The following is a 13,379-nucleotide window of genomic DNA, read 5'->3' as shown; positions in this document are numbered from 1 at the left end:
TGGAAGGAGCAAGCCTCCCTGTGTGTGATAAACTTCCACTGCTCTGACACAGGCTTTCTGTGTGATCTGGGGAAACTGACCTCACTGTTCCAGTCTCTGTTCCCTTGTCTGTAAAATGGGGAAAATAACAACAGCTGCTTCCCAGGGTAGTGTGAGGACTATGAAAATTAAGATTTGTAAAGAATTTACAATGATCCCTCAAATATAGTAAGCACTTAATAAATGTCTAGTATGATGACAGTGATGATGATTACTAACCCCTACGTGACTCGTTCATGTCAATCCTATTTCCCTCTTAAAGCCCAATGTTTTCATCTATAAATGGTTGTGGAAGAGGGTGGGGGCTGAACAATCTCTAAGTCCTGTCCACAGTAGCATCCCTGAGTTCTAGAATCGCTCTGTTTATGGACACACCCTTACAGGTCCCTTTCCCCTCCCAGGGCACGTCCAGCAGCCACCCACCTACGGGACTCTAGAGTTACACACACAAGGCAACAGGAAGCTCACCTCCAACTCCTGCCTTCCAGAAATGGCCTAGGGCCCAACTCCTTAATCACCCATAAGAAGGACCATGAGAAACTGAAAGGATCAGGGGAGATGCAGAAGTCAGAGGCAGAGCTGGGAAGGGCAGGTGACACCAGGCAAGACCAATAGACAGTGGGAAGCTGGGGAGAGCAGTGTGGCCTTGCAGGGCTGCATCTCCTGCCCCCACGGTGGCTCCGCATGCTCTCCCACTCCAGCCCTCTACCTCCCACTAGGCAGCTCCACAGGTCTGCGGGCCCAGCCCTCCAGCAGCCCTGCCTTCATCCCTCCCTGACTCTGGGGGAAAGCTGGGCCCCCCAAGGGAAGCGTCTCAAGTCCTTGAGCCCCTCCCTTTGGGGCAGTGGGGTGGGAAGGAGGACAGGAATGTTGGGAAATCAGTGCACACAGATCTGGGGCTGGTGCCAAGGTGCCACAGGGAGCGAGGAGGAGGTGATGAGAGAAGGGCACGGCAGCTCAGCAGGGCCCAGGCTGCAGGCAGGGCAGGAGGGCTGGTGGGGATGTGACTCGGGGAGTGGACAGGGCTGGGAGGCTGGGAGAGGAAGGGGTTATAGAGGTTAGAGGCCAGAGATTTCTGAAAGACCAGATCAGGGAGAAGAGGAGGTCCCAAGCGGCCAGGGTGCAGGAAGGGTGAGGAAGATGAGAGCAAGGAGCAAGGGCGCGGCTGGGGGAGACGAACCTCTGGTCCTCCCAGCCTCCCAGGCCTTCACTTCCACTAAGCATACTCTTCATACTCATTGTCACCCTCTTGATTGCGGGCAGCCCTGCCCAGCCTTCCCAGCTACCAGCCCCCACCAGGACTCTCTTGGCACCCCAGCCACCCAGTGTCCTCCTCCCTTCCAGGCCAGCCACCACCTCCATGCTGCCCTCACCACCCACCTGCTGCAAGGCCCCCATCACAGAGCCTCCCAAAGCCAATTTCTCTGCTCCCACACCCCAGCTGAAACCCACCCAGCCCCAAGCATAGGATCACTATAAAGCCACACATCTGCCTTCTGCCAGCCCTACCTGCCACCCTTTCTCTCCTGTGGACACACTGACATTTGAAGGATCAATGAATACTGAGCAGCAGGGCCAGATGAGAGGCTCCAGAACCAGAGGGTCCCCTTCCTCACTCACTCACTCCCATCAAGTGAGATCAGCCTACATAGGGACCAGCTGGGGAAACCGAGGCGTCTGTCCACTCTTTGTTTAGCAACCACACATTGAGCATCTTATAGATAAAACCAGACAAGGTCCCTGTCCTCATGTAGCTCACAATCAAGTTAGGAAAACAGGTATTCACCTCCAAATCCACAAACAAGGCTGTTTATAGTTACAAAACTATATGGCGGGGTAGGGGAGTACAAAGTGCAATGAGGGAGAATAACCAGTCAGGTGATCTCTATAGGGAGAGATGAGGGTGGCTTGGACCAGGATGGGGATAGTAGAGAATGAGAAGCTTGGGAGCTATTTCGGATGCAAAATTGGTAGATGGAGCGCTCAGAAGTGGGAGAGGAGGTGTCTCTGGTCTCTGGCTAGGAGAGCCATGAAAGTGCCATAAGAGGCTTCCTCAGATCACCTCCCAGGCAGCCCCTCAGGCCTCCTACGTCTGCCCCACAGAGCCCTCGGCAAGCAAAATGGATGACCATTTGGGGACCTATTCTAAGAATGAATCCCAGGTCCCATCCACCCAGATCCTGCCTCCTACAGCTACCATGAGGAGCCAAGCTGTAAACAAGAGCAAGTTCCCAATACCTGTTGAGGCAGCACCCACACGTCGCTGGTGATGGTGAAGACACTGGCGTCTCTGGTATCTGTGAATGCAGCTGTTTGAACTTTCCCTTGGGCACAGAGCACAAAGGTGCCCTCAATCCACTTTTAATTTCTTCTGTTAACCAATCAAGAATTTACATGACACGTCCAGTCCCTCCCTTTAGGGATTTTCACTTTCTGAGGTTTTTGTTTGTTTGTTTTTTCGTGTTTAAAAAAAAAAAACAAAAAAAAACACACAAAAAAACAAGGAAAATAGGGATTGTGGGTCTGACCAGCACTACCACATCACTATTGAGGACACTCATAGCGTCCTCACAGGGACAGTATCACTCCTCAAAGTCAACTGGAGCCCAGGGGCCCCCCACTGTGACTCATATCTAGGTGGCAGTCCCTGGCCAGGAGCACAGGCACAATGTCAGCATGGCAGAGTCTCCAGAGCTCCCAGCAGTTAGCCTCACACTATGCTAAGGACAGCCTTACCCCAGGAAACACAGGTGGGTTCTTGTTGTAAGCCCCGGGCACCACCCTAGACTCAGGTGTTCCTCATATTAATCTCATTTCAGAAGCCCCATGGCCCAGCGCCTTTATTGTGGCCACCTCACTTCATCCCAACAAATTCTCTTCACTTCAAATCCCAGGAGCAGCAGTTGGATAGTGTTTTCTTCCCTCACAGAGATTCTGGGCTCCCTCTGTCAACTGATGCGCTTCCTCCAGGGACCAGCTTTGCATACCAGAGATCTCAGGGAGAGGAGGCTTTGGATCTAGTCTCAAAACAATAAACTAACTCCAGGTGGGGGACCAAGGCCACTCATTCTTCACCCTACATTTACATAACTAAGAAAGCTATTTAAGTGGCTTTCATTGAACTCCAGTTATTTCATTTTAAACTGTCTCTGTGACTTGTGGACACAGAGAGTGGACTTCACCAGGCACTTAAATCCTCCTCGTTGGTCCCCAGAGCCTTGAAGAGGCTTATCTGGAGAACAGACCTCCCACAGCACCCTATCCCAGCCTCCACACAGGCTCTGCTCTGAGTGCTTTTCAGGCAGGGAAAAGGAACACGTCCAGGTGGAAATCTTCCAAATGTGTCTTCCCCAATCACCCTGTCACCAGATTGTTCTCAGCAAAAACTTTCTCATAAATTGTCTTTGCCTTTGGCTTTTCACACACAAAGGTCACATAGTTGTCTGCCTCTGGTATCACACGTGTAGCTGCAGAAGTGGTTTCAGAGGTTCCCACAGCTGGAATCTCCAGAGGAATTTTGATCAAGAAAAGGGAAATGAGGTCATGATGAAGAGGGAAAGGGAGGAAAGAGAAAGTGGGGAAGACCTGGAGAGCTAGAGGGGGAGAGGGGAGTCTCTACCTAGGTCATCTGGCTCCTTTCCCCCTTTCCATCCCTAAGCCACACTTTCTTCAGTGGCGCCCTCACCATTGTATCCAAATGAATGGATAATAAAAAGGACCAACTGGAAGCAATAACACACCATATGAATGAGCACCTACAGCACCCAAATCTTGGTTTCTAAATATCATTCTCCATTAAAAGGAACCAGGGCTCCTTGATGAAATGGCTGATTCAGGGCTAGAGCCAGGAAAACACCAGAAAACCTGGAACATCTTATTGTGCCAGAAAGCAAAAAAGTGCTTAAAGACGGATGAAGATAAATGTCAAAAGACACAGGAGCCAGTATGAATGGGCCAACTAGTAAGTTTAGAAGTAATGATGGTGTAAAAAATTATTAGTGGGCAAAAACTAGTGGGTATAAGTTTGATGAGGAATATAGTCTCAAACTATCTCCCCACAATTACTTATTACTTAGAAAGAGAAAATAGTAATTCTACAGGAGGGGGAACAGACACCACTTAAACTAAGTGATCAAAGATAATATCACTAACAAGTGGAAAAGTTGACATAATGTGCCTCCTGATGTAAGACTCTGAGAAAGACACATCACCTTCAGCAATCATCCCCAAAACACATCACCTGAAAGTCATAATGAGGACGCATCCAACAGGATTTGAGCAACATCATTCTTCAAATAACTGGCCTGCACGCTTCAAAATTGTCAAATTCAAGAAACACAAAGAAAGGCTGAGGAACTCTCCCAGATTAAAGGAGGTGAAAGAGACATGGAAACTGAATACAATGAGTGGCCCTGGAACAGGAAAAAGAAATAGAAATAGGCCAGGCTTGGTAGTTCACGCCTGTACTTTGGGAGGCAGAGGTGGGTGAATCATCTGAGGCCAGGGGTTCGAGACCAGCCTGGCCAACATGGTGAAACCCCATCTCTACTAAAAATATAAAAATTAGCTGGTTGTGGTGGTGCATGCCTGTAATCCCAGCTACTTGGGAGGCTGAGGCAGGAGAATCGCTTGAACCCAGAAGGCAGAGGTTGCAATGAGCCAGGATCACACCACTGCACTCCAGCCTGGGCAGCAGAGTAAGACTCCATCTCAAAAAAGAAAGAAAGAAAGAAAGAAATAGAAAGAAAGAAGATATGATGAGACAACTGATGAAATATACACGTGGACTGTGGATTCAATAACAGTATTAGACCAATGTTAGATTTTCTGATTTTAATAACTATACTATGGTTTTGTAAGAGAATATCCTTGTCCTTACCAAAACACACAAGTATTTAGGGCAAAAAAGGCATGATGTATTCAACTTATTCTCACGTGACTCTGAAAAAAATATGTGTGTGCATGTGCGTATGTGTATATATACTATATATGGTAGATACGAATACAGAGTACATCATAAGCACACACATATATATGAGGAAAGAGAGAATGATAAAATAAATGTGCAAAATATAAACAATTGCTGAATCTGCATAAAGGGCATATGGGAATTTCTTGCAACTTTTCCGTATCTAAGTTTGAAATTATATTAAAATAAAATTTACAAAAATATTACTAATGGCCAATAATTACATTGTACCCGATACGGTTTAAAACACGTTACTTATTTTAGCTCATTTGGTACTTATAACAGTTCTACAAGGTATATGGTATTATCTATCATCCATGTTGTCATCTTCATTTTACAGATGGGGAAACCAAGGCACAGGGCAGTTACGCTACTTGCTGTAGCTCCCCCACCTGGTTAAGATGGCAAAGATATGACCCCAGGCTAATAAGCCTGGCTCAAGTCTGTGCTCTCAGGATGCTCTGATGCCTCCTAAGCTATGCAGAGGCTGAGAATGGAACCCATAGACAGGAATGCACACAGGAGGACAGGCACACCCTTCCCCACAGACACATACAGTGGGACTGCCCGGAGCAGTATGGATGCAGCCTGCTAATCAAAATAGTCTTCAGATCTGAACACAGAAGAGAGCCTTTTAGAGCATGGAAGGAAGTTCAGAGTTCAGTGCCATAGAGCCTAGGGGCTAGACACCTGGGCCAAGACCCTCCACCCTGAAGGGTTTCCTATAGCCTCTGGCTTGGTCCTATTTGTCTTCTCCTTCCCCTTCCCTAGAGCTCCAAGTTTCTGTCTCTCTTTCTCCAAGACTTTTCCGTTCCCTCCACCCCATCCCAGTGAATCCAGAAATAAGAGGTTTCTGGCACAGCCTTCTGGTGAACAGTGGCCTTAGAGGAAAGAGGTGGGCCCAGACACAGAAATGGCCCAAAAGCTAGGGAGCTGGAGGGGGAAGACTGGAAGCTGATGGTCACAGCGATAGAGGAGATGGGGTGAGGAGAGGAGACAAAAGGATCAGCCATTGAAGTTTGCCCAGTGATAAGAAGCACTGTGTGTGCCAGGCCCCAGCATCAGCAGTCACTGCAGGAACGGGCCTGATGGGGGTGGGAGGTGGTCATCCTCCTTGGCACTTTGCCAGAAAGGACTGAGGGAGGTCTGTCTCCTACCATCTCTGAGAAGGCTGAGGCCACATGGAGCAGAAACAAATCTCCAAGCCAGGGACTGTCAGGGAGGGTGCCTGGTTGCTAGGGCCTGTCTAGTCTGACAGGGCAATGGGGGTTGGGGGAAAAAGATGCTGACGTCTGAATTCAGAAGTGGAGTGGACCCCCACCATCACCCTCCCTGCCGAAGGGCCTGTCACAAGGCGGCCGTGGCTCACACCCGCTTATCAGCACTGGGGTGTGGAGAGGGTGTCGCAGACGGGAGATAGGGCTGGGACAGGGCTGTCCACACCAGCCCTGCTCTGCCTCCCTCATTCACACCTCATCAGAGGCCCTCGGCCCACTCTGCCCCTGCGGCCTCCAGCCCGCCCCACTGTGCCTCTTCTGCAAACCACCGCAGCAGGCTGCCTTGCTCCAAGGATTGCTCTGCCCTGGACAATTAAGAGACACCAAAGAGGAGGGATGCTGGACACTGTCTAGCCCCAACCCCTCACTTTACAGATAAAGGAACTGAAGAGTGAGGAGCGGCTACTTAACTAAGATCCTATCGCAGGTACACCGAGGAGCCAGAAGTAGAAGGCAGGTTCTCACCCCAGACCAGAACATGAAAGAGTATGAGCCTCAGCTGGGGAACCCCTGAGAGCAGGGTTCCAAGGGCCATAGTGAAGGAGGAGTGAGGGGCACATTTATCCCTGAGGAGGGCCAGTCTGTTCCTATTCTAGCCTCATGCAGGGAGAGAGAGCACAATCAAATCATATCATCCTGGGCTCCACCTGCCTTGGATAAGACCCCCCAGGGCAGGGCTCTTCCATCTCTGCCCCCAGACTAGCTCTCTTCCATCTGTGTCTGAATGGTGATGGGTGGCGAGGGGTCAAAGGCTCTCTCTGAAGTGGTGGGCAGAGTAGGGGCACAGAGCACATCAATCAAGAGGCTAGTGGGAGAAGCCAGGGTCCCTTCATGTGTGCAGGGAGGGAACCAAAACATCATCCTGTCTGGTGGTCTAAGAAGGAGCCAGTTGGGCCCCGGTTGCACCAAGACCTCAAAGGTGCTAGGGAGGCTCAGCAAACTTAAGGTCACTGCCTGTCACTGCCCCCACCCCTGCAGCCTTGAAGGACATTTGGGTAGATCTTTCTATCCGGGCATCACCAGAGGTAGGACATTTCATCCTGTGCCTGTGGAGTAACTGGGGCTGGAGGAGGGAGAGGATGGGAATAATTCTGAGATCCTGGTTGGGGGTAGGTAAGGGGGTGGGGCTTCACACCTGCACACAGCTGGAAGACCTAATTTTAGCTCTGCTTCTCCGAGGGTCAAACACACAAAAGCCCTTGCTCAGCGCACTCTGACTGCCACCTCCACGCTTCCATCTTCCCACCAGGGTGACTGCCTCAGACCACAGACGAGACTGCAGAGCCTAACATAGGGTGCCCGGGGAAAGTGCCCTGGGAGTTCAGGCATGAGTTCAGCAATGCTCAGTACCCGGGTGTTATTCAAGACCCAGGCTTGATCACAGCCACATAGCAGGACCCAGGTCTCCACCCTTCTGTGTCCCTGCGCCCCCTGCCCAAGTGAAATGAGCACATTAGGACTCAAGCAGGATAAGCTCCACGTTTCTGACTTGCTGCATAACTCCAAAACATCTCTTGAGTGTCACTCACTATTTGCAAAACCCTGCAGGGGCCTCAGAAAAGAATCAACTCCATTATCCTCCTGCCTCTAAAGAGTTAGCAGGGCACTGTAGGGCTGAAATGGGTAAATGCATGAATGACCGAATTAGAAAGCAACATGGATGAAGCTGGAAACCATCATTCTCAGCAAACTATCGCAAGGACAAAAAAACCAAACACCGCATGTTCTCACTCATAGGTGGGAATCGAACAATGAGAACACTTGGACACAGGAAGGGGAACATCACACCCCAGGGCCTGTTGTGGGGTGGGGGGAGGGGGGAGGGATAGCATTAGGAGATACACCTAATGTAAATGACAAGTTAATGGGTGCAGCACACCAACATGGCACATGTATACATATGTAACAAACCTGCACGTTGTGCACATGTACCCTAGAACTTAAAGTATAATAAAAAATATATATATATATTAAAAAAAAGAAAGCAAATGAAAATAACTGCAACAACCTTGAGGGGGGAGTTGAGGGTAAACATTAGATTGGAAACTGGAAAATCTTGGTAAGTTCCTAGAGTTTGTTGCTTCGTTTGTGAAATGGGATGAATCGCGCCGATTCAAATGGTGGACTGCATAAGCTCTAACTGGAAAGCGCTCTGCAAACTGTAAAGCACGGATATGCTCAAAGGGCTGGTTGCAACACATCACAGTCTTAGGATTTGAGAAGAGATTGAACCACTTCCACCACCTCAGGTTAACACCATACTGAGGCCCGGCTCTGTCCTTCACTCTCTCAGATCAGGATGACTTTCATCAGACACCAATAATCATTCTCAAGAATTCACAGTAACTGGCTACCATTTATTAAGAGCTTACCAAACTGCACATGTTATCTTATTCAATCCTCAACCAATCCTGCAGGTCCTTCTCAACCTGCTTGCAGGTGAGGAACCTGATTCAGAAGGATGAAGTCAGTTGTCCTCAACTGTCCCGCACTGACAAGTGGAAAGATGATTATGTGGGACCCCAAGTTTCCCCAGCAGCCTCCCTGCCCACTGCTGGCATCCAAACATTGGCCCAGTCATGCCATGTAGACCCAGAGATGCGGCAGGCACTCTCCCTATCCCAGAGTGACTCACAGGCAAATTGTGATGGAGACTTATTTCTCCATAATGCAATCAATTCAGTGTTTTTCCTTCTAAAGAAACAGAAATGGGCTCAGTGACTTGGCTCAAGCCCATAATCCCAGCACTTAGGGAGGCCAAAGTGAGAGTATTGCTTGAGGCCAGGAGTTCAAGACCAGCCTGGGCAACACGGCGAGAACTCATCTCCAGAAAAAAAAAGTTTTTAATTAGCCAGGCATGCTGGTACATGCCTGTAGTCCTAGCTACTCAGAAGGCTGAGGCAGGAGGATTGCTTGAGCCCAGGAGTACAAGGTTAGAGTGAACTGCAATTGCACCACTGCACTCCAGCCTGGGTGAGAAAGTGAGACCCTGTCTCTATAAGTAAACAAACAAACAAACAAACAGGAATGAACTTAATAGAAAACATCAGAGCACATTATCACACGAAACTTGCTGGGTATGTGAAGTGGGTTGCCATGTAAAGTGAGTTTTCTACCAGAGGGATCTTCCATGGCTCTGTCTTGTTCAATGCTTTTAACAAACGCATTGAAGGCTTGTTTATTCAATCTGCTATCTCAAAGCTCGGATGCATAGCTAACCATGTCAGATGGCCAAATCGGGATCATCAAGAATGTGAACTCACTTGAAGATGGGTAGAAACTGTAACACGATGAAATCCTAACAGTTGGGCACACATAAAATCTCACATTTGTGCTCCAAAAATTGGCTCTGTAAGTGCATAACGGGAAAGTGATTTGACAGCAGATCGATCATGTGAAAAAGACCTGAGGCAGTTAGTTGGACCGAGTTCCACAGGAAGCAATGGTATATAGTGTGAAAAGTGGAGCGTCCCTGAGAAGAGCGGTCAATCCCCTGGACTCAGTTCAGCACTGCTATCACTGCGTCCTGAATGCTTTGCTCAGATGTGGCTGCCACATCATGAAGGCATAAAAAATCATGATGGTGAAGGGCCTGAAATTCATGAGCACCTGAGCGTGACATGAGATGCCACATGTCTTTATAAGCTGCATATCTCAAAAGGACTATCAGGTGAAAGGAGGTGCCAGCCAGTTCTGTGTGGCCTGGAATGGCAGTTTGGGCCTGTCATTGATGGGTAGGAATTACAAGGGAAGGTTTCAACTTCATCTTATGAAGATCTACTATAAAGAAAATTGCATAGCTGGGGGCCCAAAGGGATAGGAGAACATACTCCCTTAGAGATATTCGGAAGCTCAAAGACCACTTATCTGACAAAGGACTCCTGTCTAGTGGCTATATGTATTGGGAGAGGGTGGAGGTATAGTAGAGGGCCAGTCTGGCTTGAAACCCTGGTTTATCAGCAGAATCATCAGTGTTACTTGTTTAGAAAATATAAATTCCAGGCTGGCGTGGTGGCTCACGCCTGTAATCCCAGCACTTTGGGAGGCCAAGGTGGGCGGATCACTTGAGGCCAGTTCAAGACCAGCCTAGCCAACATGGTGAAACTCCATCTCTACTAAAAATATATATAAATTAGCCAGGTGTGGTGGCACACACCTGTAGTCCCAGCTACTCAGGAGGCTGAGACAGGAGAATCGCTTGAGCCCGGGTGGCACAGGTGGCAGTATGCTGAGATCGCGCCACTGCACTCCAGCCTGGGTGACAGAGCAAGACTCTCTCTCAAAAAAAGAGAATACTGATTCCAACGTCACACCAAATCTACAGAATCAAAACCTCAAGAAGAGTTAGAGAATCTATTTTTTGAGGCAGATTATTCTAGATTGAGACTAGTTATAACAACATGAACTTTGAGTGAAACCTATATTTAGGGAAAAAATTGCATAAACAACATTTTGGAACACCTGGGCCAATTTTAATAGGAATTGTTTATTAGATGATATCAAATTCTGGTAATTTTCTTAGATGTGATATTTTAAAATTATAATAAAATTTAAAATTATATTAAAAAATAAGAATGTTCTTATTCTTAGGTAATATAAGCTGAAGTATTAGAAAGGTGAAGTGTCATGCCTATAATTTACTTTTTTTAAAAAAAACAGCAAATTGCTTTTAATAATTTGGAAAAAAGAGAAAGCAAACGAGACAAAATTTGGGGGGAGGGGCAATCATTGCACTCTTCTTTCAACTTTTCTGTAGGCTTGAAATTTCTCAAAACAAAGTTTAGGGGAACATTATTAAGCTGTTAGGCTATTCTGATGTGAGCCAAACATGAGACCCACTGGACAAGATAACCTCTGCTATTCCATCCAGCCTGAGTGCCTGGTGCCTGATGTCTGAGGCTGACTGAGTTCTTTGTGGCTTACAGAGCTGCAAGTTCCATACTGGGGTGGTGCCACAGCTGAAACTAAGTCTTGCAGTGACACTAGGCCACAGTGACCCCTAGAGGTACTTGGCACACTCAGGGGCAGTCCACCCCTTGACCACAGTTGGCATGTTCAGGAGTAGGAAAGCCCATCGGCACCCCCACTGTCCTGAATTGCATGGGGCCTGTGTCAATGCAGTCCATCTTGCTTGGCCCTAATGACCTGAGGTTTGCTCCCTGAAGGTGGGGCTAGACTGGAAAAAGGAACACTGGATCCCCGATAGACAATCTCCAAGAAGGATGACATCCAGGAAAGCATCCCAGATGGAGGCTAGGCATGGAGACAGGCAGGAGCAGGAGTTTCACACCTGATGTGAGCCCAGCCCTGACCAAATCCATCAGAATGAACTATAGTGAGGATACAGAAGGCACTTGGAAGTGTGCCAGGACGGGGAAGGACACACAGAGTGAAGGTATGAAGGGGTGGGCAGGGAACAAACAGCACCCTGGGTGCAGGGTTAGGTTCAGGGATGGGCTGCTAATGGGAAGTTTGCGATTCACAGAGGTGATATCAATGACACTTATGTACTCACAAGGATGAGGCCAGGGGACACAGGTAGGTGACATGGTAACATTCAGAGTCATTCCAAGTATAGAACTCAGCCTAGAGTTCTAATCAAAGGTCTGAAGGAAAGACAAGTTTTCCATTGCTTGAAGGTCAAGGTGCAAGGGGCAGAAATATTTGCAGGTCTTTAATTAAGGGCTGACATCCAGTCTCCTAACCTTTGCAATTTGTTGTATGGCAACACACAACAATATTGGTGCAACAGCCTCAATTCAGGGACCACAGTTTGGAATTTCACAATAAAGATATCACTGAAGGTAGAGAGAAACTTGGGATGTGGGTTTCCAGCAGAAGAGCCTGTCCAGACTGGCACTTCCTCCACGGCTGCCTTTCCCTCAGACCAGGGACTGTCTGAGGGTAAAGAGAACAGAAGGGCAGAATCTCACGCTCAGCCTATGCTGCATCTGAGTCCAGGATGATCAACAGCCACATTGAGGGCTGAAGCGGTATGACAGGAGGAAAATTCTAACCTCTAACCAATTATTTACATTTCAAGTTTGTTTGGGGGAACTCTTGAAGAAAGTGTTGATACATTTCAAACACCACTGTTACACACTAACAAACTTTTTCAAAGGTTGTCTGATGTGCAAATCATATAAATAAATAAATAAATATAAATAAAAATGAGGACTGGCAGACTGCAACTTTGTATTACAAGCTCTTATCTCCATTTTCCACAATGACCAGGCAGCATCTTTCAAAAGAAATAAAAACCTAAGAAACTTCATTGATCTGTCCTTTTGCAGGTGGCGGTGAGGGCAGACAGGACGCCATGAAGGCCTCAGGCACACTATGAGAGTACAAGGTGGTGGGTCGCTGCCTGCCCACCCCCAAATGCCATACACTACCCCTCTACCACATGCGAATCTTTGCACCTAATCATGTCGTCGCCAAGTCCTGCTTTTGGTACTTGGTATCTCAGTTAAAGAAGATGAAGAAGTCTTCAGGAGAGATTGCTACTGTGGGCAGGTGTTTGAGAAGTGCCCCCTGCGGGTGAAGAACTTCGGCATCTGGCTGCACTGTGACGCCCAGAGCAGCACCCACAACATGTGCCGGGAATATGGGGACCTGACCACCGCGGGTGCTGTCACCCAGTGCTACCAAGACATGGGCGCCTGGCACCACGCCCGGGCCCACTCCGTCCAGATCATGAAGGTGGAGGAGACCACAGCCAGCAAGTGCCGCCGGCCAGCCGTCAAGCAGTTCCATGACTCCAAGATCAACTTCCTGCTGCCCCACTAGGTACTGCACTATCCGCACAAGCCACACTTCACCAAGAGGCCCAACACCTTCTTCTAGGGGCAGGGCCCTCACCCGGGTGTGCCCCAAATAAACTCAGGAATGCCCCAGTGGAAAAAAAAAAAAAAAAAAAAACTTCATTGATCTAAAAATAAGAGATTCTACCATCTAGGTGGAGAGGAACGAGCAAGAAGAGCATAAGTAACTCCAAGGCTGCTGGCAATGCAGGTCGGCAGAACAGAGCAACAGGGGAAGGGAGTTGGGGGCCCGCCTCTAGAGATGGGCAGTAGGTACCTAGGACTTATCCC

The 13,379-nt window shown here is 48.3% G+C and overlaps 1 pseudogene, besides 1 other annotated feature; it reads left to right on the top strand.

The window, feature by feature from the left end:
• Positions 5,389-8,534: an enhancer, noted in NCBI's record as "VISTA enhancer hs2266". NCBI's record gives its function as "enhancer in: heart[7/10]" and the evidence as "EXISTENCE:transgenic organism evidence [ECO:0001131][PMID:17130149]".
• Positions 12,568-13,184, top strand: RPL18AP7 (ribosomal protein L18a pseudogene 7; annotated as a pseudogene).

The sequence above is a fragment of the Homo sapiens genome, chromosome 3 (genome assembly GCF_000001405.40).
Source record: "Homo sapiens chromosome 3, GRCh38.p14 Primary Assembly".
In the NCBI taxonomy this organism is placed as follows: Eukaryota; Metazoa; Chordata; class Mammalia; order Primates; family Hominidae; genus Homo; species Homo sapiens.
Note: the sequence above shows the minus strand (reverse complement) of the source record. Positions and strands in the feature narration are given on the sequence as shown.